Genomic DNA, 26,538 nt, shown 5'->3' with positions numbered 1-26,538 from the left:
GAAATATTTTCACCAAGAAAACCAACCCTGAATATAATTTAGCCTCAAGAGCTAACTATCAGTTTACAGGGATACAAAGGATAGGGAAATATGTTCAAAAACATCATGAAGATACAATTAATCAAAGGCAGAATGTGGAAAATATTCCAGGACAAATGACCTGACTTATTCCACAAATAAATGGTATGGGGAGAAAAGAGGGAATGGGAACTATTATCGGTGAAAAGAGTCTTAAGAGATACCAGCAAAAAATGGAATGTGTAGACCTTCTTTAGATCCTGATTTAAGCCAACTAACTGTAAAAAACACTTTTGAGATAACTCAAGATAACTGAACATAGACTGAGAATTAAATGACATTAAAGAATTACTGTTGGTCAGGCACAATGGCTCATGCCTGTAATCCCAACACTTTGAGAGGCCGTGGCAGGAGGATTGCTTGAGGTCAGTTCATGACACCAGCCTAGGCAACATAGCGAGACCTCATCTCTACAAAATAAATAAATAAATAGAATAAGAGATACAAGTACAACAATATGTCTGATATTTGCTTGAAGACACTCCATCCAGCAAGCCAGGTGCAGTAGTGTATGCCTAAAGTCCCTACAGATTTGGAGTCATTTCCATGCTAATACAAGAAATGGTAGGCAGAATTCTAAAGACATTCATACTCCTCCCCCTGGATTTCCATCCACTGATTATTCATTTAAACACAAATTTAGGAACTGTTATAAAGTGATTTTGCAGGTATAATTAAAGCCCCAAGTCAGCTGACCTTACAATTCAGAGATTATCCAGGTGGGCTGACCCAAACAGGTGAACCCTTTAATAGCAGTTTTCTCTGGCTGGTGGCTGAAGAGGAAGTCAGAGAGAATTGAAGAGTAAGGACTCACCATGCCATTACTGGTTTAAAGGTGGAGGGGCCATGTGAGAAGAAATACCAATGGCCTTGAGGAACAGAGAGCAACTCCTAGCAGACAGCTAGCAAGGAAATGGAGACCTCAGGCCCACAACCACAGGAACTGGATTTTGCTGACAATACGACAACATGAATGGGCCTGGAGGCAGATTCTTCTCCAGTGCTTCCGGGAGGAGCCCAGTTTGGCCAATGCCTTCACTTTGACCTCAGGAGACACTAAGCAGAGGGCCCAGGCAAGCCTGTCTAGACTTCTGACCTGCAGGATTATCAGCTAACAGCGGGGTGCGGTGGGATGCACCCATAGTCCCAGGTACTCAGGAAGCTGAGACAGGAGGATCACTTGAGCCCAGGAGTTCGAGGTTATAGTGTGCTATAATCATGCCTGTGAATAGCCACTGCACTCCAGCCTGGGCAACACAGTGAGACCCTCTCTTAAATAAAATAAAATAAAGAACTATAAGCCATATAAGCCAATAAGTCGGTGGTGTTTTAAGCCCCTACATTTATGGTAATTTGTTCTTCAGTCAAAGAAAACTAAGGCAGATATGAGAAACTTGGCAAAGGAAAATTGTTTAGTCTAGTTGTCCATACTACTATAATGAATAAAATGTAAATTCACTTTAAGACTGTTCCTGGTCAGGTGGTGGCTCACACCTGTAATCTCAACACTTTGGGAGGCTGAGGCAGGTGGATCACTTGAGCCCAGGAGTTTAAGACCAGCCTGGGCAACATGGCAAAACCCCATCTCTAACGAAAAAATACAAAAATTGCCAGGCATGGTGGTGCACACCTGTAGTCCCAGCTACTAGGGAAGCTGAGGTGGATGGCTTGAGCCCAGGAGACAGAGACTGCAGTGAGCCATGATCATGCCACTGCACTCTAGCCTGGGTGAGCCAGACTCTGTCTCAAAAAAAAAAAAAAAAAGACTGTCCCGAATCCAGGAAAGGTTTTAATCATAATGCATTTTCCTCACCAGAAGTCCAAAAACATGTATCAAAATTGCCTGATGTAGTGACTACCATTATTTAATACATGTGAGTGCCTTCCACCTTGAATTCCCTTATTATTAGCCACACACATAGGGGGGCACTTAGTAAGTACATGTGTTATTGGACAGTCTCACTCCCAGAGCTGAAGTAAAAGTTTCTAGATGATCTATGCTTGCTCTTCTTGACATCCCACTAAAAATAACTGATCTGGTATGATCCTTAACATACATTAGGCAAAAAAACAAAAACAAAAACAGATCTGTCAAACTGAAATAAACTTCTTTTTTTGAGACTGAGTCTCACACTGTTGCCTGGGCTGGAGTGCAATGGCGGGATCTCAGCTCACTGCAACCTCTGCCTCCTGGGTTCACACGATTCTCCTGCCTCAGCCTCCTGAGTAGCTGGGATTACAGGCATGCACCACCACACCCAGCTAATTTTTTCTATTTTTAGCAGAGTCAGGGTTTCACTGCACTGGCCAGGCTGGTCTCGAACTCCTGACCTCGTGATCCACCTGCCTAGACCTCCCAAAGTGCTGGCATTACAGGCGTGAGTCACCACGCCTGGCCAAATATTTCTTATATTGGATTAACCTTGGTTATCCTCAAATGAGCAAGAGTTAGTTTTGAACTACCCCAAAGGAATATAGTGAGGGGATGAAGGTTCTCCTGAACCACCCTGACCACCAGGACAAAAGCAGCCTTACCTTTGCATCTGGCACCTGAGCACCAAGGCTGCTGAGTCCCACGATGGAGTAGAAGGCAGATTCCAAATTTGTGAAAGGGCGATCCAGCGAGGCTTTTAGTCTCTCCACGTCATGCTTGGTGAGGTAGTGAGTGGGCGTCAGAGCCCAGGTGCTGGCTATGATTGTCAGGGCCAACAGGAAGACAGTGCTTGAACCTTGGGGGGAAACAACCATTCAGTACACTCTACACTCTTCCAAGGTGCTATACACAGTCCCAATGATGATGCACACCAAGATCTGGGAACCAAATCACATGGGGAAGGGCGAGGGAATCCAGGGGTTTAACCTGAGGAGAAGCCTTGGGAAGGCAGGGAGCCTGCTCTTCAACTGGTGGAAGGACAGTCCTCCCAGCAGCCTCCAAGCATCTAAAGCACAGGCCTTATCCTACTATTCCCATCTGAAAGATGTCTGTAAGTCCTCTGCCTCTAAGGACAAACCCAATCCTGAATCCTCACACCTTGCCAGCCTCTCAACCAGATCTCCTCCCTCGCGCTTCCCGCTATCTGTTGCTCTCTGGCTTCTTCTCTGTCCTCTAAGAAGCCAGGTTCTTTCCTGCTCAGCATTTTTCCATGTTTTTACCTCAACTTGGCTTAATTTTTACTTTCAGAATTCAGCTCAAGCACCTCTTCCTTAAGCAGCTCTCCCTAGGATTAGTTCCCCAGTACAATAATGTAAGGAAGAACCCAGACTCTGGGGCCAGGCTTAAATCACACCTCTGCCATTTATTAGCAATGTGCCCTTGGCAGTTATTCAACCAGCTGGTGCCTCAGTTTCCTAAAGTGTAAAGTGATAATAGTATCTACCTCAGGTACAATTACACGAGTTAATACAGAAAGATCTGGCCGGGCCAGCACTTTGGGAGGCCGAGGCAGGTGGATCACCTGAGGTCAGGAATTTGAGGCCAGCCTGGCCAACATGGTGAAACCCCGCCTCTACTAAAAATACAAAAAAATTAGCTGGGTGTGGTGGCAGGTGCCTGTAATCCCAGCTACTTGGGAGGCTGAGGCAGGAGAATCGCTTGAACCTGGGAGACAAGAGGTTGCAGAGAGCTGAGAATGCGCCATTGTTGCCAACCTGAGTGACAAGAGCAAAACTCCGTCTCAAAAAAAAAAAAATCTTAGAATAATGACTGGCACATAACAAATGCTATATCAATGTTAGCTACTACTTCTACTACTATTATTATTGTTGTGCTTATATCCACTCATAGCAATCTGTACTTCTCTGTGGGATTTTCTACAACTTTAACAGCGTAATGTCTGATTTCTCTGCTAAACTGTAAGTTCCATGAGGATAAAGACTGCTTCTTTTGTTCATCCCAGTATTTCCAAGTCTTGCACACTGCCTGGCACATAGTTACTGAATAAATATTTGCTGAATAAATGAAAAGAAAAATTAATCCCCATCTATGATGCCCCAGGGGACAGGAAGCTGCAGGAGTGGTACATTTCTACTTCATTTATTTAAAAAAACAAAACAAAAAACACTTTTGAATGGGCTGCTTCTTGATAAAGTGCATTGTCTGGCACCCAAGTAACAGCAGTAACAAATAATCACTAGGCTAACATGAGTGGCCCTAAATCCTTTGCCTTTAGTGTTAAATTAAGCTTGAACTAGAATCCTTGAAAAAAGGCACTATTGGCCAGCGGCACTGGCTCACTTCTGTAATCCCAACACTTGGGGAGGCTGAGGCAGGCGGATGCTTGAGCCCAGGAGTTCAAGACTAGACCAGGCGACATGGCGAAACCCTTTCTCTACAAAAAAGAAAATACAAAAATTAGCCAGGCATGGTGGCGTGTGCCTGTAGTCCCAGCTACTCGGGAGGCGGAGGTAGGAGGATCACTTGAGCCCAGGAGGTTGAGACTGCAGTGAGCTGAGATCACACCATGGCACTCCACCCTGGGTGAGAAAGAGAGACCCTGTCTCAAAAAAATAAAAGACAGCTGGGCACAGTAGCTCACGCCTGTAATCCCAGCACTTTGGGAGGCCGAGGTGGGCGGATCACTTGAAGTCAGGAGTTCAAGACCAGCCTGGCCAACATGGTGAAACCCTGTCTCTACTAAAAAGACAAAAATTAGCCAGGTGTGATGGTGGGTGCCTGTAATCCAAACTACTTGGGAGGCTGAGGCAGGAGAATCACTTAAACCCAGGAGGCGGAAGTTGCAGTGAGCCGAGATCGCACCACTGCACTCCAGCCTGGGTGACAGAGTGAGACTCCATCTCAAAAAAATAAAAATAAATAAATAAAATTAAATTAAAAAAAGAAAAAATCTATCACGTGGTGTATTCATCAAATGTATACTGAGCTACTATGTGCCACACACTACTTTAGGTGTTAAAAATACAGCAGGAAACAAAAGAAACAAAACTCCCACCCTCAAAGAGCTTCTATTCTAGTGACAAAAGACATCACATGAAATAACATTATTTATCACATTACAAAGTAAGTGCTATGGAAAAAAATAAAGTACAGAAGAGATATTTGGGAAGGGCTGCATTTTAAATACGGTAGTCTATGAAGGACTAAGAAATAAACATATTGAGTACAGATCTGAAGAAGAAGCAAGTCATAAAGATATCTGGTGGGAAACTATGCTAAGAAGAAAAACCCAATATGGCCAGGCGCAGTGGCTCACACCTCTAACCCCAGCACTTTGGGAGGCCAAGGCAGGGGGATCACCTGAGGTCGGGAGTTCAAGACAAACCTGGCCAACATGGTGAAACCCCATGTCTACTAAAAATACAAAACATGAGCCGCACATGGTGACTTGGCCTGTAATCCCAGCTACTAGGGAGGCTGAAGCACGAGAATCACTTGATCTGGGAAGCAGAGTGGGCAGTGAGCTGAGATCGTGCCACTGCACTCCAGCCTGGGGCTCTGTCTCAAAAAAAAAAAAAAAAAAGAAAAGAAAAACCAAATGCAAACATTCTGAATCAGGAGTATGTACACATACAGTGTTTTTTGAGATCAGCAAGGACAGTACAGCTTGAGTGGAATAAGCAAAGGGTAAGAAGTAGATGAGGTAACAGAGGTAGCAGAGGACAAATCCAGAGGGCCTTGTATACCACCGTAGTGGAAGCCACTGGAAAGTTCTTTTTTTTTTTTTTAGACAGAGTCTCGCTCTGTTGCCAGGCTGGAGTGCAGTGGCGCGATCTCGGCTCACTGCAGCCTCCGCCTCCCGGGTTCAAGCGATTCTCCTGCCTCAGCCTCCCAAGTAGCTAGGACTACAGGCACGTGCCACCATGCCCAGCTAATTTTTGTCTTTTTAGTAGAGACGGGGTTTCACCATGTTGGCCAGGATGGTCTTGATCTCTTGACCTCGTGATCCGCCCGCCTCAGCCTCCCAAAGTGCTGGGATTACAGGCGTGAGCTACCGCACCCGGCTGGAGACCACTGGAAAGTTCTAAGCAGAGGAGTGATTTGACTTACACTCTAATGGTATTACTGTGTTGAGAATAAACAATACTGTGTGGAGAACAGACCATGCAGGTGCAAGGACAGAGCAGGGGACACCAGTTGGGAGACTACCGCCATAATCCAAGCCAGAAGATGATGGTGGCCCAAACCAGGGCAACAGCAGTGAACATGATGAGAAGTGATGAGAGTTAGTCTGGCTAGAATTCAAAGTCAAAGCCTATCAGAAACTGCTAATGGACAGAAAGACCTAAGAGAGAGCGGAGTCAAGATACTAATGCTGAATCCCCAATGCCTTGTGCACAGGCGGGTACCCAATATATGAAGATCTAGTGAATGGCTGCGACTAGCATTTTCCCACCTAGACCGTAAATTCCCCTAAAACAGCACCTGTGTCAGAATCCTAATCTTCTCACTCCATGTTAACGAGAGCAGTAACTTTTCTGACTAAAAGTTGAGCACTTAATATGTTAGGTATGCCCACGCTATGCTGTGCTTTGCACACACCAAATCATTAAATCCTCACAACATCTAAGCAAGGTGGCTATTTTCTGCATTTCACAGACCAGGAAAGTAAGGCTCAGAAGTAGTTACCTGCCCTAGGACACATCACTGAAAATCAAACTTCAGGCAATTTGAATCCAAAGTCTGCTTTTAACCACTTTACTATCCTGAACTTCTCAAATAATGAAACGGTGAGCCACTGACTCATTCATGTGTCACCCTGGGCAAGTAAGTTCCCTTCCGTGGGATTCCAACTTCTCATCTGTCAAATGGTAGTAACAAGAGTACATGCTTCCAAAGTTACGATGAGGCTACATGAAATTCCACCCTGCACAGCGTCTACTCAGTAACTTCCAATGCAGTTAACTTAGTTCTTACCTAGGGCCATGCACTGTTCTAAACTAAGCACGAAGATTATTTCACTTAATAAAGCAACTCAACGAGGCAGATAACGTGACTAATTTGACTAACTTATTTTACAGATGAGAAACTGAGGTGTAGAGGGGTTAAGTAACCTGCTTTGGGTTACACAATGAATACGTGGCCGACTGCAAGTTTGCACCTAGAGTGTCACTTGAGAACTTATGCTCCAGGCTCCCAGAGAGAAGTGAGGGTTTTCTTTGCCCCTTTCACTGAATGGGAAACTACAGCACAAAGAAGGACAATCTGCCCAAAACCTCACACGGAGTAAGGGGCAGCGCCGGGACCAGAACCTTAGGCCGCCTGGCCCAGAAGCCCGCGCGAGTGAAATGAATGAGGCCAGACCTAGGCTAAGCGCGTCCGCGGTCCCCACGGCTGAGCCTCGGGGCGACCCGTAGCTCCGCGCTGCACCCCTCCCCCAGGCACCAACCCCGCCAGGTCGCGGGCACTCCCACCAGCTCGCAGCCCTCCTTCGGACCCTCGATCCGAGAGCGCCCCAGCCAGAGCTTGTGCCCATGCCCCTGTCCCGCAGGGGAAGGGGATCCCGCCTGGCCGGCTCTCGAGCGGCGACTAGTAACCTCCCGCGGGCGACAGCCCTCTCCCCAAAGCCACGCGCAACTCCTCACCCGGCGGCGCCATTCCTCCGAGCAGGTCCCGCCGGAGTCCGAGCCGCGGGCTGACTTCCGCTCGGGAAAGTGGCTCCAAGAGCCCGCCACAGGGGACGCCAGGGACTCGCGGCAGGCTCTGCGGGCCAGGATGAGTTCTAAGCACAGGTCAGTGTCCGCGGCCCCGCTGAGCTTCGACGCTTCCAGCAGCCGCGGCCGGGATCCCAGTCCTCCCGCTCACAGGGCCTTGCAGTTCCCGAGGACAGACCCGCCTCTCCCCCGCGCCCAGGCCCACTTGGAACCGACCGTCTCGCAACGCTCCTATTCCGGGAGCTACCGGGACGCGGTTGGGCCAGGCCTCGGGGTGGGCCCGAGACGGGGCCGCTTCTGATTGGCCTGTCTGCTGTCACTCACTCGTCTTTCTGCTGCCCGGCCCATTTTAAAGGAACAGGAAGGGTCTCGTCGGGAGGGGATAGCTTAGAAGGGATTTTTTTTTCCTCTTTAGAAAATTGTGGCAGTTTCTGGCCGGGCGCAGTGGCTCACGCCTGTAATCCCAGAACTTTGGGAGGCCGAGGCGGGCGGATTACCTGAGGTGAGGAGTTCGAGATCAGCCTGGGCAACACGGTGAAACCCCGTCTCTACTAAAAATACAAAATTAGCCGGGCGTGGTCACACATGCCTGTAATCCCAGCTACTCGGGAGCCTGAGGCAGGAGAATCGCTTGGACCTGGGAGGCGGAGGATGCGGTGAGCCAAGATCGCGCCATTGCACTCCAGCCTGGGCAACGAGTAAATCTCCGTCTCACCAAAAAAAAAAGAAAAAGAAAATTATGTCAGTTTTTTCCAAAGATTATCAGTGGGGTTGTTAATAACTGACCTACGAGTGACGTTTTATCTGATTTGCAGAGCAATGCAGTGACTCATAGAGAACATATTAGGCCAGTTTTACAGGCTCAACATGGAGGTGGCTCATCCAGGAACACCGCTCTAATAACTAGCGCCAACTACTGAATGTTTACAGTATAACCCGACACTGTGCCGAACGCTCTACAAGCATTATTTCTTTTCTTTCCTTTTTTATTGATACGGGATCTTGCTCTGTCGCCCAGGCTGGAGTGCAGTGGTGCGATCACAGCTTACTGCAGCCTCGACATCCTGGGCTCAAGCAATCTTCCCTCCCGCCTCAGCCTCCGGAGTAGCTGGGACTGCTGCCTTGCGACACCACGCCCAGCTAATCTTTAAAATTATTTTTGGTAGATACCGCGTCTCGCTTTGTTGCCCAGGCTGGTCTGGAACTCGGGCTCAAAGGATCCTTCGGCCTTAGCCTCCCAAAGTGCTGAGATTACAGGCTAATCCCATTTTAAAGAGAAGGAAACAGATTTGAACCTAGGCAGCTGACTCCAGAATCTGTGCTTTTAACTACAGTTTTATGAACATATAAAGTATGCACAATATAACTCTTATTAACGTTATTATTGTCCCAAATGTTATCCCGCATGGGAGAGAGTCAGTTCTTTCTGTGTCTGTTATGATAGCCACTAGCCTTATGTGGATATTTAAATTTGAATTTAAATGGATTAAAATTAAGTAAAATTTAAAATTCAGTCTCTCATTTGTACTAGCCACATTTCAAGTGCTCAGTAGCCACAGATAACTAGTGGATATCAGATTGGACCACTCAAAATTATAGGACATCTTCATTATTGCAGAAAGTTCCATTGGGCAGTGCTGATGTAGAATATATAAAGAATTCTCCCAGCTCAAGAATAAGACAACCAACCAGTGGTGTGCTGGAGCTGTCTCATACTATCTTGAGAGTCCATTGTTAAATTTGCAGTAATTTTGCAAATTGGTTAAATACAGCCATTTAGAAAATTATATCAATTTAGGATGAAATAAAGTATATTGAAAACAAAACTCATTATTTTCTAATTATTTCACTACATTTTACGTTTTGTGTGCTTTTGTGGTTGCTTATATCTGTTGTAACTGTGTGGTGGAAATATATGACAGTATGCCATTGAACATCTCTTCCCAAGGTAGTATTGGTAGCTTGATTTTGGCCATGATGGGAGTATTTACACCACAGACTTAGCATATGCAGCCAGGAATGGTGGCTCAGTCTGTAATCCCAGAGCTTTTGGGAGGCTGAGGTAGGAGGATCACTTGAGTCCAGGAATTCGAGACCCACCTGGGCAACACAGCAAGACCTGCCTCTACAAAAAAAAAATTTTGATTAGCCAGGTGTGGTGGCTCGCATCTGTGGTCCTAGTGACTAGCTGTGGACCACAGATGGGAGCCACCACACCTGACTAATGAAAAAGAAAAAGACCAACAATAGCAAATGTTGGCAAGGATGTGGAGCAACAGGATCTCTCATATCCTGCTGATGGAAATGTAAAGTGGTACGACCATTTTGGAAACAGATTGACAGCTTCTTCGTTGTTTGTTTGTTTGTTTTGAGACAAAGTCTCCCTCTGTCACCCAGGCTGGAGTGCAATGGCACAATCTCAGTTCACTGCAACTTCCATCTCCTGGGTTCAAGCGATTCTCGTGTCTCAGCCTCCCGAGTAGCTGGGATTACAGGCGCGCGCCACACTGCCTGGCTGAATTTTTTTGTATTTTTAGTAGAGACGGGGTTTCACCATGTTGGCCAGGCTGGTCTCAAACTCCTGACCTCAAGTGATCCACTCACCTCAGCCTCCCAAAGTGCTGGGATTACAGGCGTGAGCCACTGGCGGTGGTTGTTTTTTACGAGGCAAGGTCTCCATCTGTCGCTCAGGCTGGAATACAGTGATGGAATCATAGCTCACTGCCGCCTTCACCTCCTGGACTCTAGGACCCTCTTGCCTTGGCTTCCTGAGTAACTGGGACTACAGGCACATGCCACCACCCCCAGCTAATTTTTTGTAGAGATCGGATTTTGCTATGTTACCCAGGCTTGTCTCAAACTCTTGGTATCAGGCAATCCTTTCGCCTTAGCCTCCCAAAGGCAATGGGAATACAGGCGTGAGACACAACACGTGGCCAGGCAGCATCTTAAGAAGTCAGTTACACAATCTACCACACAACCCAACCATTCTGCTCCTAGAGGGTTTCTTTGTTTTTAATGAACTCATTTTTTATTAAAGAAATATATGCATACAGGACAGAGTTCAAACTTTATTGGTTTGGGGTGTCCTTCCAAAATTGTTTTATTGGCTGGGCGCCGTGGCTCATGCCTGTGATCCCCACACTTCGGGAGGCCAAAGTGGGCAGATCACCTGAGGTCAGGAGTTTGAGACCAGCCTGGCCAACATGACGAAACCCTGTCTCTACTAAAAATATAAAAATTAGCCGGGCGTGGTGGCAGGCACCTGTAATCCCAGCTACTCAGAAGGCTGAGGCATGAGAATCACGTGAACCCAGGAGGCAGAGAGGTTGCAGTGAGCTGAGATTGCACCACTGCACTTCAGCCTGAGCGACAAAGTGAGACTCTGTGTCAAAAAAAATAAAAATTAAAAATAATAAATAATTTTAAAAAATGAATTCCGTAAGTTGTGTTTTTGTTTCTTCTAGAGACAAGTTCTCTCTGTCAGTCAAGCTGGAGTGCAGTGGTGCCATCATAGCTTAAACTCTGCAGTCTTAAACTCCTGGGCTTAAGGGATCATCTTGCCTCAGCCTCCTGAGTAGCTAGGACTACAGGCACATGCCACCACACCTAGCTAATTTTTTACTTTTTTTTTCTTTTTTTTGAGATGGAGTCTCGCTCTGTCGCCTGGGCTGGAGTACAGTGGTGCAACCTCGGCTTACTGCAAGCTCCACCTCCCGGGTTCACGCCATTCTCCTGCCTCAGCCTCCCGAGTAGCTGGGACTACAGGCGCCCGCCACCGTGCCCGGCTAATTTTTTTGTTTTTTTTTTTTTTAGTAGAGATGGGGTTTCACCCTGTTAGCCAGGATGGTCTCAATCTCCTGAACTCATGATCCGCCCTCCTCAGCCTCCCAAAGTGCTGGGATTACAGGTATGAGCCACCGCTCCTGGCCAATTTTTTACTTTTTTGTAGAGATGAGGTCTCACCGTGTTGCCCAGGCTAGTCTCGAAGTCCTGAGCTCAAGCAGTCCTCCCACTTCAACCTCCCAAAATGCTGAGATTACAGAGTGAGCCACCATACCCAGCCTCCATAAGTTTTTTTTCATGTATGCCAACATTTGTGTGTGTGTGTTTCTGTGTGTATACACATATACTTATACTTTTGTGAAAATAGTTTTGTTTTAATGAAAAATGTCATATCCATTGTTTGACAGCTTGCTTTTTCTTTCATGAATCTATGCTAAACATTCAGTAAATAGAGACCTGCTCAATCATTTACTCTGCCAATAATTGTTGAGCACTTCTGTATGTCACTGTTCTAGACTCCTGGGATACATTCATGAACAAAGCAGCCAAAGATTCTTGCCCTCATGAAGCTTACATTTTAGCAGGAGGAAATAAATGACAATGAACATCATAAACAAGTGAAAGATATATTGGAAGGTGTTACGTGCTATGGTAAAAAGAAAAAGTAGGAAAGGGTAAGGAAGATAGAGGGAGTTTGGTGAGGTGTTCTACCTCAATCTGGTTTTTTTGATGGGTTTGTTTGTTTTTTGAGATGGAGTCTTGCTATGTCACCCAGGCTGGAGTGCAGTGGCACAATCTCGGCTCACTACAACCTCCACCTCCCAGTTGAAGTGATTCTCCTGCCTTAGTGTCCCGAGTAGCTGGGATTACAGGCATGTGCCACCATGCCCGGCTATTTTTTGTATTTTTAGTAGAGACCAGGTTTTGCCATGTTGGCCAGGCTGGTCTTGAACTCCTGATCTCAGGTGATCTGCCCGCCTCAGCCTCCCAAAGTGCTGAGATTACAGGCGTGAGCCACCTGCACCCAGCATTGTTTTTAACAGCAGCATAGTATTTCTTACCTATCCATTCACTCCTAATGAGACTGACAACATGCTAGGTAGGTATTGGGGATACAAATGTGACCATGTAGACGAGGGTTCTCTCTAATGGAGTTTATAGTCTGATAGGAGACAGTCAAACAAATAAACCAAATGAGCAAGGTAATTGTAGGTGGTGGTTAAATACCATGAAAAAAATAAGAAGGTAACTGTGGGGCCAGGATGGTGGGAGCTACTTAATCTAGATTGGTGATGAATAAATGCCTCTCTCAGAAAGTGACATTGAGGCTTTCAAATAAATGATGAGACAGAAGCAGTCCTGGAAAACTAATTTTTCGCATCTCCTCTTTATTCCTAGGATCTGTAGTCAGGAAGAAGTAGTGATCCCCTGTGCCTATGACAGTGATTCAGAAAGTGTGGATTTGGAGCTGAGCAACTTAGAGATTATTAAAAAAGGCTCAAGTAGCATTGAACTGACAGGTAAAAAGGAGAAAGGACTAGAAAGGGGAGGGGAGGGGAAAAGAGAATGTATTTTCAACTCAGGCCAAGAGGTATTGATTGAGTACTTGCTGGGTGACCAGCCCTTGACTAGACTTTGATGATGAATTTGGTCCCTGACTTTGAGACCTTGAAATACAGTTGGCAAAATGAGATACATGGTTCGTGATGTCCAGGAAACTAAGGTTGGTCCTGAGACAGTTCTGCAGAAGAGTGTGAGTGCTTGAGGGATTCTGAGGAGGGAAAGGGCAGTGTGGGATACCTTGGAGTGGGAGGACTTTATGCAGAAGGTAAGATCTGGATTGGGCTTCAGAATAACTTTCATTCTACAAAACATGTATTGAGTACCAGGAGCTGGGAATACAACAGTAGACATGACCAACATGGTCACTGCCCTCATAGAACTTACATTATTGTGCAGAAAAGAGACCAAAAAGAGTAAACAGTCACTGAAGTAACTACAACTTGTAGTAAGCAGTATGGAAGAACAGGCTGAGACAAAAATAAGGGCAATAGGAACCTACTTGAAACTCTGGTTGTCAGAGAACACCTGTATGAGACCATGAGTGCTATTTAAATCTAAAGGAGGCTTGAAAGATGTGAGAGTAACTCATGTGAGTATAGGGAGTACTACAGATAGATGGGGACAGCATGTGCATGACACAGGAAAGATCCTGGTGTGTTTGAAGCTACCTTCATTCATTCATACATTCATTCAGCAAATACTTAATGAAGCCCTCCTGTGCTCTAAGCTTAATCTAGCAGCTGGAGATATAGCATCGAACAGAACAGACACAGTATACCTACGGATGAACAGGCAAATGGAACTCAGTGCAATCAGTGTGATGGGGGTGGGAGAGCCAGAGTGGATACAGAGCGGTTTATTAGTGACTTGGGGATACTTAGCCAAAATAGGCAAAAAGGGCATACACGAAAGGCATCCTGGAGCTGAGACTTGAAGGATGAGTAGGAGTTAGCAAGGCAAAGATAGGTAAGGGAAGGTGGGGGAGAAGAAGGAGAAAAATGCAGGCAGAAGGAACAGCCTGTGCACAGATCAGAATGAGAACATGGCTTCAATTATTGCAATTAGTGGATGATAGGAATATGGCAGGAAGTGGGTAGAGTTTACTGAAGAGGCATTCAAGAAATCAAAAAGAATGCAAAAGTAGAGTGGTGGCCGGGCACGGTGGCTCACATCTGTAATCCCAGCATTTTGGGAGGCTGAGGCGGGTGGATCACCTGAGGTCAGGAGTTCGAGACCTTGCTTGGCCAACATAGCGAAATCCCATCTCTACTAAAAATACGAAAATTACCTGGGGGTGGTGGCGTGTGCCTGTAATTCCAGCTACTTGGGAATCTGAGGCACAAGAATCGCTTGAACCCAGGAGGCAGAGGTTGTAGTGAGCCAAGATCGCGCCACTGTACTCCAGCCTGAGCGACAGAGTGAGACTCTTGTCTCAAAAAAAAAAAAAAAAGAATGGTAAAAATCTTCAGATGAAAGATGTGTTAAGGGGGAAATACTTCTGGGATCAGTTCTTTGCATGTATTACCTCATTTAATTCTTATAATAACCCTGTTTTACAGAAAAGGAAACTTAGGTTTCAGGAGGCAAACTAGCTTGATAAAGGTCATACAAATAGTAAGTGGTAGAGCCAAGATTCAAACTAGTCTCAAATTGAGATTTAAAGTCCATAGTCTTAACCATTCTGCTACAGCTCAGTCCCAAAGGTTTTTTGTAGCTTAGGAGGCCCTTAGAGAACATTGAATTTATTTTTGAGAAAACTGAGTCTAGGAGACAGGATGGGACTTGGTTAAGGTCATAGAGCAAGTAGTAAAGGTGAGCCAGAGGTACTCCATACTAAACCTTATCACTTTACACAGTACGGAGGCATCATCCAGTGTCTTTCTTTCAATGTTAGACTTGGACATCCCTGACATCCCTGGACTCCATTGTGAGCCCCTGTCACATAGCCCCAGACACCTGACCCAACAGGACCCGCTCAGTGAGGCCATTGTTGAGAAACTGATCCAGTCCATCCAGAAGGTTTTCAATGGTGAGCTAAAGGTATGCACAAGCAATTTTTATGAGTTATCCAACTTATTCCTCCATTTTAACAAATATTTTAAACATATTATTTCTTGATTATACAAATAATTTTATATTATAGGTTATAAAACATGTTTGTTTTATATTTATAATACATATATTTACATATATTTATAAATTATACTTACATATATAATTATGAAATTAATGTAAAAACAAAGAAAACCATAATAAAAATTAAAAGCTAATCTTCCCTAATTCCAGTCTCAAATAACTACTGCTGACATTTTGGTTTATATTTTTTTAGACTTTTTTTTTTTTTTTTTCTGAGACAGTGTCTCACTCTGTCGCCCAGGCTGGAGTGCAGTGGCACAATCTCAGCTCACTGCAACCTCTGCCTCCCGGGTTCAAGTGATTCTCCTGCCTCAGCCTCCTGAGTAGCTGGGATTACAGGCACGTGCCACCATTGCCCAGCTAATTTTTGTATTTTTAGTAGACATGGGTTTCACCATGTTGACCAAGCAGGTCTTGAACTCTTGACCTCAAGCAATCCACATGCCTTGGCCTCCCAAAGTGCTGGGATTACAGGCATGAGCCGCTGTGCCTGGTCCTCTATGGCTTTTAAATCCCATTCACCCAATCAACAAGTAATGAATGAACAGCTACCATTTATAAGGCACTATGCTAGACGCAGGGAAGAAGTTGGAGTAGTAAGATTAAAGACTATTCACAGATAAACAAACTGGGCCACAAACAGACCGAGACCCTGTCTCAAAAAATATAATACTATTCAGCAATTAAAGGAGGGAACTATCGATACAACAGCAAAGATGAATCGCAGAGGCATTGTGTTGAGTGAAAGAAACCAATCAGAAAAGGTTACAGACTGTATGATTCCAGTTGTGTGACATTCTTGAAAAGACAAAACATGGTGATGCAGAACAGATTAGTGATTCCTAGGCATTAGGGTGGGGAGAGGATGTGACTAAAAAGGGATAGCAGGAGAGAAATTTAGGGGATGGTGGAACTGTTCGTATCCTGATTGTGGTGATGGTTACACATGTGTATGTGTGTGTTATAACACATGGAACCACATGCTTCCTGCCGAAATCAGTTTTACTGTATGATACATTTTTAAAAATCATGTTGTCACTTTGTACCGCATAAATATATACAACCATAATTTGTCAATTTACCAAAACACACACAAAACACACACATACACATACACACAAAACCACACAGAGCCTCCACTGGAAGGAGGATGAGGGAAACTTCAGGAATGCTAGTAATAATCTGTTGCTGGCTACAGGGTGTTTTTTGGTTTGTGAAAATCCACCAAACTGTACATTTTCTTTATGTAGAATACCAATGAAAAATAAAAATAAAACATTTAAAGCCAACATGTTGGCCTTCACTTTTGACTTCAGCTAATCCTTATACTTCATATCAGCATGGTTTTCTTTCGATTTCTTTGTAGTTAATGAAGGGCTTGGATTGCTGCCATGAATTGAAACAAAAAAGCCCATTACCTGCCTTGAGCTGATTCCACAGTCAGTCAGGGAAATAGATTAATAAGAAGGTCATTATGTCAGAGTATCGCAAGTGCTGTGATAGCAATTTATTCATGTGGTTTGTAGATACACTTAGAAAGGACACTGGACCAGCCAGGCGCAGTGGCTCACACCTGTAATCCCAGCACTTTGGTAGGCCAAGGTGGGCAGATCACGAGGTCAGGAGTTCAACACCAGCCTGGCTAACATGGTGAAACCCCCATCTCTACTAAAGATACAAAAAATTAGCCGGGCATGGTGGCAGGTGCCTGTAATCCCAGCTACTTGGGAGGCTGAGACAGGAGAATAGCTTGAACCTGGGAGGCGGAGGTTGCAGTGAGCCAAGATCATGCCATTGCACTCCAGCCTGGGCAACAGGGTGAGACTCTGTCTCAAAAGAAAAAAAAGAAAGGACACTGGACCCTGCTTCAGGAGCAAACGCATTCTCCAAGTCTTAAGATATATAGAGATTTTTTTTTTCTTTTTTGAGACAGAGTCTTGCTCTGTCACCCAAGCTATAGTTCAGTGGCGCGATTTTGGCTCATTGCAACCTCCGTCTCCCAGGTTCAAGCACACCTATAGTCCCAACTACTCAGGAGGCTGAAGTACAAGGATCCCATGAGCCCAGGAGATGTAGACTGCAGTGAGTGGTGATCACGCCACTGCACTCCAGCCTGGATGACAGAGCAAGACCCTGTCTTAAAAAAAAAAAAAAGGTTCTATGATAAATAGGAATTTTATATATATATGTATGTATGTATAATTAGAAAAGAGGCCGGGTGCAGTGGCTCACGCCTGTAATCCCAGCATTTTGGGAGGCCAAGGCAGGCAGATCATCTGAGGTCAGGAGTTCGAGACCAGCCTGGCCAAGATGATAAAACCCCATCTCTACTAAAAATACAAAAATTAGCTTGGTGTGGTGGTGCATGCCTGTAGTCCCAGCTACTTGGGAGGCTGTGGCAGGAGAATCACTTGAACCCAGGTGTACCACTGCAGTCCAGCCTGGGTGACAGAGCGAGACTCCATCTCAAAAAAAAAAAAAAAAAAAGAAAAAGAAAAAGAGAGGCCAGGCATGGTGGTTCTCACCTGTCATCCCGTCATCCCAGCACTTTGGGAAGCCAAGGCAGGTGGATCACTTGAGCTCAGGAGTTTGAGACCAGCCTGGGCAACATAATACAAATAATTAGCTGGACGTGGTGGTGCGTGCCTGTGGTCCCAGCTAGTTGGGAGGCTGAGGCGGGAGGATTGCTTGAGCCCAGGAGGTTGAGGTTGCAGTGAGCTGAGATCGTGCCACTGCACTCCAGCCTGGGTGACAGAGCGAGACTCCATGTCAAAAAAATAATAATAATAATAGTAATAATAAAATAAAAAAGAAAAAGAGAATGTTAGTACTGAGAGATTTTATTCTTCCAATCAGAACTTGGATTTTAATAGGAAATTTTAAAAGCAAAATAATGAATTTTTAATGACATTGAAAGAACTAGAAGTAACAGAATCAGAGAGGTCACCTTTAGGAAGCTTTTTTTTTTTTGAGATGGGATCTCACTCTGTCACCCAGGCTGGAGTGCAGCGGCACCATCTCAGCTCACTGCAACCTCCGCTTCCCAGGTTCAAGTGATTCTCGTGCCTCAGCCTCCCAAGTAGCTGGGACTACAGGCACAGGCACGCGCCACCACGCCTGGCTACTTTTTTGTATTTTTAGTAGAGACAGGGTTTCACCATGTTGGCCATGCTGGTCTGGAACTCCTGACCTCAGGTGATCTGTCCACCTCGGCCTCCTAAAGTGCTGGGATTACAGGCATGAGCCACCATGCCCAGCCTAGGAAGCTTAATCAGGCAACACTACACAGGACAGGCAGGTAGAAAAGCAAAGACTAAGAGTGGGGAAAGCCAGGATGGAACATGGAGCTGAGAGGAGAGCCGAGGTCTCAAAGCAAGGCAGGGCCAGCGGACAAGGAATTTCACTGAAATCTTCCGTAATTTACTCATTCTTTGTAATAAAAGACTGATATTGGGTTGAAAGAGATGTCAGATATTTAAAGCATTCCAAGAAACTTTTCAAAAACTCTCCACAGTTATTCAAATAAGATTATGACATATAATTGTATTTTTATCATTTTCCCACAAATTCAGGGTGAACTTGAAAAGCTGAAATTCCTAGGAGATCTGTCTTCTCTCAGCCAAGCTTTACCTTATGATGAAACCGCAAAATCATTCATTCACAGCCACATAGCAGACATTGTGCATACCTTAAATGTAAGTATTATGACCTTATCACAAATGATTGGGATCACACAAATTCAGTGACTTGGCCAAAGCATTTTTTAGTGGCTTCACCTATGTTATCAATTCACTTGAACTCTTCTAGTATCAGTATCTCCACATGGAGGAGAAATACTCATGGCCACCCCACACATGTAATCACCCTTGAAAACCAATTAAAAGAAGAGTAGAAAGGACAGGAACAGCATTTGAATTTCTCAGCAAGGCCAACGCTACATTCTCATGACTCAAGCAGTAGTTCCCAGACAGTCCCCATAATCGTATGCCTAGGTTCAGGGGACAGCCCTGCCTTTTTATAGCTGTGAAACTGTAGGAAATTACTTCACTTCTCAATGCCTCAGTTTCCTCCCCTATAAAACAAGAATAGCTATATCTACTTCACAGAGCTATTGTGACCATTAAATTCAAAATAAATATAAGCCATGTCCATGGTACCTAATACACACGAGCCACTTGAGAAACATGACTATATTATTGTTATCGTATTTTGTTCTATTTGTACTTACTCCAGCCACACTCTGCCACCAACTCATCCATTCATTCCCTCATTAAGTGCCTGACAGTTCCAGGAACTGTCTTGGGAATTTGGGCTACAAAGACAAAGAAGACAAAATCCCTATTTATGCAGCCAAGCAAGGTATAATAAAATGTCACAGGAACTGTGACAAGTTTAAATAGGCATATGGGGGGCTGAGAGTAGAGATTGAGTGGTCAGTTCCATGGCAAAGGATCCAGAAGGGCATTGCAAAGGAGCTGATGCACTCAAGCAAGTACTTCTTGGTGTTTTAGTTTTCTCATCTGTGAAATGTCTCCTTCAGTTTCTCTAAAGCTTTAAAATTCTGATGTTGAAATTTCTTACATACTCCAGAAATATGAGTAGTTCTTTCTCATATCACAGATCTATAAGGCTGATTAGACTGATAGCTTTTATAATTCAAGGCTAACCAGCTAACAGTTTTAAGTAATGGACAGTTACCAAGGATCTTCTATATCCAAACACACTGTGGTGCTTTGATAAAGGTTACGCATTTCCTGGAAACCTTAATCCTTGCCCTTGAAGGGTTTAGGATCCATCTGTAAGTAGCCATATTTCAAAAAGTAAATAGGTTGAGAACTATTCCAAATAATACATTAAGAAGAACAGGATGATATAATACAGGTTTAACAACAAAAAGCGGCGGCTCACATGTGTAATTCCAGCACTCTGGGAGGCCGAGGTGGGCGAATCACTTGCGGTCAGGAGATTGAGATCAGCCTGGCCAACATGGTGAAACCCCGTCTCTACTAAAAATACAAAAAATAGCCGGGCATGGTGGCAGGCGCCTGTAATCACAGCTTCTCCTGAGGCAGGAGAATTGCTTGAACCTGGGAGGTGGAGGTTGCAGTGAGCTGAGATGACACAACTGCACTCCAGCCTGGGCAACAGAGTGAGACTCTGTCTCAAAAAAGAAACAAACAAACAAGCAAATAAAAAAACAGTTTGAGACCAGTTTGGGCAATGTGGTAAAACTCAATCTCTTAAAAAAAAAAAAAAAATTAGCCGGATGTGGTGGTGCATGCCTGTAGTCCCAGCTACTCGGGAGGCTAAGGTGGGAGGATCAGCTGAGTCCAGGAGACAGAGATTGCAGTGAGCCGAGATCAAGCCACTCTATTCCAGCCTGGGTGACAGAGTGACACCCCATCTCAAAACAAAAACAAAAACAAACAGAAAACAAATGCAGCTTTCTACTTGGCTGTACTCCTTGGGAAAGGGGATGTAGGCAACCGCAGGATCATAGGACCCAGCCAGAGTGGCATGTTTCTAGAGCTCTAGTTTCACCAAACTTGGCAACAATGGGTTGCCACATGGTTCAACCAGCCAGTCCATAAAATCCACAAATGCAGGTCTCAACAGCAACAATGTACTGAATTACACACTGAATCTGCATTTGCATCTGTCCACCCAGTAATAAAATGCCCACATCAGATGTCAATCAAAGTATAGGCTGGCAGGGGATTCAGCCTAGAAGAGTTAAAGGTAGCTAGTATCCATGAGAAAATTGCATGGATCACTGCAGCATTGTGTAAGTCTACAAAGTCCCCACAGGCCCACACATGGGGGCTGAAAAAGCACAGCTCCCAGCAACCAAAGGGAGAGGTGCCCAAGAGGAGAAGCATTTCTGCTGAGGAACCGACAAGGAGGAAGAAGCCAGGGTCATTATAGAGAAAGAAAACGTTAAGGCATTTACCAGTGCTTGTGACCCAAACCAGTGCATGGCTCCAAGTATCCAAATTAAAAAAGCCAAGGAAGCCAACAATAGAAAGTGGAAAGAAGGGGGAAAAAATGTTATGGCACTTCACCAAATATTTCTTTTTCTTTTTTTTTTTTTTTTCTGAGATGGAGTCTTATTCTGTCACACAGGCTGGAGTGCAGTGGCACAATCTCAGGTTACTGCAACCTCCGCATCCCGGGTTCAAGTGATTCTCCTGCCTCAGCCTCCCAAGTAGCTGGGATTACAGGCACCTGCCACTGTACCCAGCTAATTTTGTGCGGTTTTATTAGAGACAGGGTTTCACAGTAGAGACCAGCCCAGGCTGGTCTTGAACTCCTGACCTCAGGTGATCTGCCTGCCTCAGCCTATCAAAGTGCTGGGATGACAGGCATGAGTTCACCAAAAATTTCTCAAAATAAGCACATGAAAAGATGCTGATCATTGTGATTAGGGAAAAGCAAACTAAAACAACAGTAAGCTTCAACTATACACCTACTAAAATGGCTAAAATAAAAAAGAAAGGCAATACCAAATATTGGCAAGGATATGGAGCAACTAAAACTCTCATACAGTGTTGCCAGGAATGTGAAATGGCACAACCACTTTGGAAAACAATTTGGCAGTTTCTTAAAAAGTGAAACATGCACTTACCATATGACCCAGCAGTTTCACTCCTAGGTAAAACAAAACATATGTCCACACAATGATGCATGCACAAATGTTTACAGCAGCTCTATATGTAAAAGCCAAACCCTAGAAGAAGCCCAAGTGTTCATTAGCAGGTGAACGGATAAAGAAATTGTGGTATTGTATATCCACATGATGGAATACTACGTGAGAATGAAAAGGAACTATTGAAATATGCTACAACTTGGAACAATCTCAAAATAGTTATGCTGAGTGAAAGAACCCAGATAAAAAAGAGGATATCATGCGTGATTCTATTTACATGAAATTCGAGAAAATGCCAATGAATCTATAGTGACAGCAGAGCAATGGTAACCTAGAGGCAGAGGTTGAGTGAGGAGGAGAAGGAGCGAGGAATCACAAAGTAGCACAAAGAAACTTTTGGAAGTGATAGAAATGTTCATTCTCTTGAGGATGGTGATGGTTTCATGGATATATACATATATCAAAAATCATCAAACTGTATGCTTTAAATATGTACAGTTTATTGTATATTGTAAAAAATATACAATATACAATATAATATAAAAATATACATTATATAATGTTGAGAACTTTAATGAAAAAGAAAAGAGGCTGGGTGTGGTAGCACCTGCCTGTAGTCCCAGCCACTGTCGAGGCTGAGGCAGGAGGAACACTTGAGCCCAGAAGTTGGAGGCTGTAGTGAGCTATGATTGTACTTACGAATAGCTACTGCACTCCAGCCTCAGGAACATAGTGAGACCCCCATCTTTAAAGAAATAGAGAGAGAGGGAGAGGGAGACAGAGAGAGGAAGAGAAGGAGGAGGGAGGGAGGGGAGGGAAGGGAAAGGGAGAAAGAGGAGTGAGGGAAGGAAAGAAGGAAGGAAGGAAGGAAGGGAGGAAGGGAGGGAGGGAGCGAGGGAGGGAAGGGAAGGGGAAGAGAAGGGAAGGAGGGAGAGAGGAGGGAGGCAGGGAAGGAAGGAAGGAGAAAGGAAGGAAGGAGAGAAAGAAAAAAGAAAAAAAGGAAGGAGAGAAAGAAAAAAAGGAAAGAAAAAAAGGAGAGAAAGAAAGAAAGGAAAGAAAAAGAAGAAAGGAAGGAGAGAAAGAAAAAGAAAGGAGAGAGAAAGAAAAAGAAAGGAAAGACAAAGGAAAGAAGAACGAAAGAAAAGAGAAGAGGAGAAATGAAAAGAAAGAAAAAGAGGAAGGAAGGAAAGGGAAGGGAGGCAGGCTGTGGCAACTGGGATATAGAATAAAGTGACAGCAGGATTAGGGTGAAATTAATCCAGGTGGATCTGACCTAATCTTTGAAAGATATGATGGATAGGATTGAGAGAAGAGAGAAAGGACCACTGGGTAAGGACTTCAGATGGTAAGCTGAAGAATGCTACTTGGCTATGCCAAGGCTAGGGTTCTGCATTCTGCAATATGGCAGAGTGGCCAGGAGATGGTTTTTAGTGACTCAACAACAGACATGAGCACCAAGACCTACTGTAATAAAATTTTAATGTAACCAGATTTGCCTCTTAATTCTCCTCTGCCACCATGGGACTCCATCGGAATTCTATATCTGAGGTCCTCCACAAAACCCTCCCCACCTTGGACAAATCACTTAGCTTATCTGAACATCAGTAGCTCTACCAGTAAAATAAAGATATTCACATCTGCTCGGCTTTTGTTAAGACCTTTGAGACAGGCTGGGCACAGTGGCTCATGCCTGTAATCCCAGCATTTTGGGAGGCTGAGGTGGGCAGATCACCTGATGTCAGGAGTTTGAGACCAGCCTTGCCAACATGGTGAAACCCCGTCTCTACTAAAAATACAAAGATTAGCCAGGCATGGTGATAGGCGCCTGTAGTCCCAGCTACTCCGGAGGCTGAGGCAGGAGAATCGCTTGAACTTGGGAGGCAGAGGTTGCAGTGAGCCAAGATCACACCACTGCACTCCAGCCTGGGCGACAGAGCCAGACTCTGTCTCACAAAAAAAAAAAAAAAAAAAAAAAAAAAAAAAAAAAAAAAGACCTTTGAGACAAAACGTCTAATTTTGTTTGGATTAGTTAGGATTCTTCAGGCAAGAAACAAAAATCACCTCTGGCTCACGTAAGTTACCAAAAAAAAAAAAAAAAAAAAAAAGGATGCTGGGATATCTCTCTTAGACTCTAAGGATGAGGTTTAAACAAGCCTCCAGAAAAGTAAGTTTCAGGACAGCTCCAGAGCTCTCAGAGGCAGGGGCTTCGCTACCATCACCATGACTCAACCCTCTAGCAACTCCCGCTTTGTGCCTGTCACTGTAAGATTCCAAATTCTGCAAGAGAAAATCTGATTGGCCCAAACTAGTCTGTTCCCCACCCCTGCATCAATCAGGTTTGCCTGGGGGCAAGATCATATAGTAATGATATGACTTCTGGGTGTCCCACCCTGCGTTTCGGAGGCGTTCCGAGGGAGAAAGGGTGATTGCTGTGATCTGGGCAGTCACCCAGAAAGTTCCTGCTACACACATACTCTACTAACAAAAAATACCCTCTCACTTTTGAATTCCCTGTGGAGGCCAGCATAACTGTGAACAAATAATAAACCTTCAATACCCAACTGATTAAAAAAAGAAAAGATGATTCTGGCAGAAGTGGATCAAGTCAATTGAAGTCAGAGGGGATTGCAAGCCCGGGGCTTCAGCTAAGAGACCCTGCTTTCATCCATATGAAGGCGTATGGCTCCAGGAATGGAGAGTCACAGAAACCGTGCAGAGCAGGGGGTGGCTGATGCTATAACTGATAGGAGGTAGGGCTTGAACAAAAGAAAGAATCATGAATCACCTTTTTAGTGAGCCCTGGGAAAGGGAACAGTTGACAGCTATTAAAGGATAGGAAGCTGTGTTCTTCGCACGGGGACCACAGTGAACTGACTTTAATGCCAAAATTCTGGGGATGTTAGTGGTGTGCCCTGGAGATAACCAGATGCAGATGAGTAGAGCCCTGGGAGAGCTGTCAGGGCTAAAGATAGAGTCTTAGGCTTTGTCCCTTCTGGACTATAAAGCCGCAAGAATAAATGTGCTCCTTGAGAAAATAAGGAAGAAAGCAGCAGCCCACCAGCAAGATCGGAGTCAGACCAAAGCTGGAAAGTAAGAGGAGAAAAACTCAGAAAGGGGCAAGAAAGGGAACCTTGTAGTGTTTAGTGAGCACTTACTGCATCCTAAGTTTTTTTGTTGTTTTTGAGACGGAGTTTTGCTCTTGTTGCCCAGGCTGGAGTGCAATGACACCATCTCGGCTCACTGCAACCTCCGCCTCCCGAGTTCAAGCGATTCTCCTGCCTCACCCTCCCAAGTAGCTAGGATTACAGGTGCCCACCATCATGTCTGGCTAATTTTTGTATTTTTAGTAGAGATGGGGTTTCACCATGTTGGCCAGGCTGGTCTCGAACTCCTGACCTCAGGTGATCTACCCGCCTCAGCCTCCCAAAGTGCTAGGATTACAGGCGTGAGCCACTGCGCCCAGCCTGCATCCTAAGTTCCTAGTGAGATCTTCTTGGTTGCAGGTAAGAGAAATCCTCTAGAAGCAGCTGAAACACAAAAGGTGAGATTTGTTCTAAGGATCACTGAGTGCTTCCCAGAACCCCTTGACAGGAGGAGCAGCCTGACCCAGGAAGGGAATGAATCTAGAAAATAAAAACCTTCCACATACTCAAGGAGAACTTTCCATATCTTATTTTTGCTCCTTTGTATGAATTTCCATTTCTCCTCTCTCTCTCCCTTTCCCCCCACCCCGTCTCCCTCTCCCCCATCTTCTCTCCCCAAAATTGGCCCTCTCAGTTGCCTCATCCACAGGGACCAGTGCTTCCAAATTTTAAATTTTTTCCTTTAGAAGACCATCCAGACTGAGATTGAAGCTCTGTGTCCCAATTCCAGATTCCAGAGAGAATCTAATAGACCTTGGTGTCTACTCTGGGACAGATGAGCTGTAGCCAGTGGGACAGAATGACCTAGCAGACACAGAGCTTTGAAGTACCCATTTCTGTGGGTTGGGGACAGTTCCCAGAGGGGCCTGGTGGACAGTCCAGCAAGGCTTCTGCTACAGTCTTTTTTGTTGTTGTTGTTGGGGGGACAGAGTTTCACTCTTTCACCCAGGCTGGGGTGCAGTGGTGCAACCTTGGCTCACTGGAACCTCCACCTCCCGGGTTCCAGCGATTCTCCTACCTCAGCTTCCTGAGTAGCTGGGATTATAGGCGCCGGCTTTCGAACTCCTGACCTGAGGTGATCCACCCGCCTCAGCCTCCCAAAGTGCTAGGATTACAGGCGTGAGCCACTGCGTCCAGCCAGCTACAGTCATTTACATTAGCTCATTTTCTCCATACAGATAAGGCAACTCAGGCACAGGGAGTTAAATGACACATTCAGGCTCACACAGTGAGTGAGTGGCAGAGCCAGTGCGCAGCCCAGGGACTGTCCCACTCCAGAGCCCCTGCTTATCACTCCACGGGTTTTTCCAGCACAGCAATGCACTTTCCCTCTGCCAGTTTGTAAATTGGAAAGTTATTCTTTTTCCGGGACAAGTAACTCAGAATAATATTAGATGTGATCATAGAGAGATGGCTGGTTTAGTGGAGAGAGGAGTTAGAATGCCTAAACTAGAAATAATCACTGGTGATAAAAAGAGTGAATAACAGACACTAACAATTACACAGGGCTGCTGGGTGTCATGAATTTGCTCAGTGAGTACTCATAGCCGCCCCATGAAGGTAAGTATTCCTGTTTTC

The 26,538-nt window shown here is 44.9% G+C and overlaps 2 protein-coding genes and 1 pseudogene across 14 annotated transcripts in view, besides 5 other annotated features; 2 read left to right on the top strand and 1 right to left on the bottom strand.

Moving 5' to 3' along the window:
- Positions 1-7,657, bottom strand: part of RPN2 (ribophorin II) — a 62,290-nt gene extending 54,633 nt beyond the window's left edge. For all 11 annotated transcript variants that reach the window (NM_001324301.2, NM_001324305.2, XM_006723851.4 and 8 more), the window contains exons 1-2: positions 7,618-7,657; positions 2,614-2,807 (exon numbers count right to left, since the gene is read on the bottom strand). In NM_001324301.2, coding sequence (NP_001311230.1) covers positions 2,614-2,807; positions 7,618-7,630 — 207 coding nt within the window. In that variant the 5' untranslated portion in view covers positions 7,631-7,657. The remainder of the gene's footprint in view (positions 1-2,613; positions 2,808-7,617) is intronic.
- Positions 6,982-7,539: an enhancer, noted in NCBI's record as "NANOG-H3K27ac-H3K4me1 hESC enhancer chr20:35807851-35808408 (GRCh37/hg19 assembly coordinates)". NCBI's record gives its function as "activates a minimal SCP1, AML or CMV promoter by ChIP-STARR-seq in naive H9 embryonic stem cells {active_cell/tissue: H9 hESC(naive)}" and the evidence as "EXISTENCE:reporter gene assay evidence [ECO:0000049][PMID:30033119]".
- Positions 7,382-7,431: a silencer, noted in NCBI's record as "silent region_12885". NCBI's record gives its function as "represses an Ori minimal core promoter by ATAC-STARR-seq in GM12878 lymphoblastoid cells {active_cell/tissue: GM12878}" and the evidence as "EXISTENCE:reporter gene assay evidence [ECO:0000049][PMID:35858748]".
- MROH8 (maestro heat like repeat family member 8) overlaps positions 7,439-26,538 on the top strand; it is a 78,382-nt gene continuing 59,282 nt past the window's right edge. For all 3 annotated transcript variants that reach the window (NM_152503.8, NM_213632.3, NM_213631.3), the window contains 5 exon segments: positions 7,439-7,598; positions 7,600-7,764; positions 12,871-12,992; positions 14,930-15,075; positions 18,744-18,866. In NM_152503.8, coding sequence (NP_689716.4) covers positions 7,507-7,598; positions 7,600-7,764; positions 12,871-12,992; positions 14,930-15,075; positions 18,744-18,866 — 648 coding nt within the window. In that variant the 5' untranslated portion in view covers positions 7,439-7,506.
- Positions 7,540-8,099: an enhancer, noted in NCBI's record as "NANOG-H3K27ac-H3K4me1 hESC enhancer chr20:35807291-35807850 (GRCh37/hg19 assembly coordinates)". NCBI's record gives its function as "activates a minimal SCP1, AML or CMV promoter by ChIP-STARR-seq in primed H9 embryonic stem cells {active_cell/tissue: H9 hESC(primed)}" and the evidence as "EXISTENCE:reporter gene assay evidence [ECO:0000049][PMID:30033119]".
- Positions 7,552-7,601: an enhancer, noted in NCBI's record as "active region_17831". NCBI's record gives its function as "activates an Ori minimal core promoter by ATAC-STARR-seq in GM12878 lymphoblastoid cells {active_cell/tissue: GM12878}" and the evidence as "EXISTENCE:reporter gene assay evidence [ECO:0000049][PMID:35858748]".
- Positions 7,952-8,031: an enhancer, noted in NCBI's record as "active region_17830". NCBI's record gives its function as "activates an Ori minimal core promoter by ATAC-STARR-seq in GM12878 lymphoblastoid cells {active_cell/tissue: GM12878}" and the evidence as "EXISTENCE:reporter gene assay evidence [ECO:0000049][PMID:35858748]".
- LOC100419562 (ribosomal protein L13 pseudogene) lies at positions 20,668-21,205 on the top strand (annotated as a pseudogene).

This window comes from Homo sapiens, chromosome 20 (genome assembly GCF_000001405.40).
Source record: "Homo sapiens chromosome 20, GRCh38.p14 Primary Assembly".
Lineage (NCBI taxonomy): Eukaryota > Metazoa > Chordata > Mammalia > Primates > Hominidae > Homo > Homo sapiens.
This window is presented reverse-complemented; position numbering and strand designations above follow the sequence as displayed.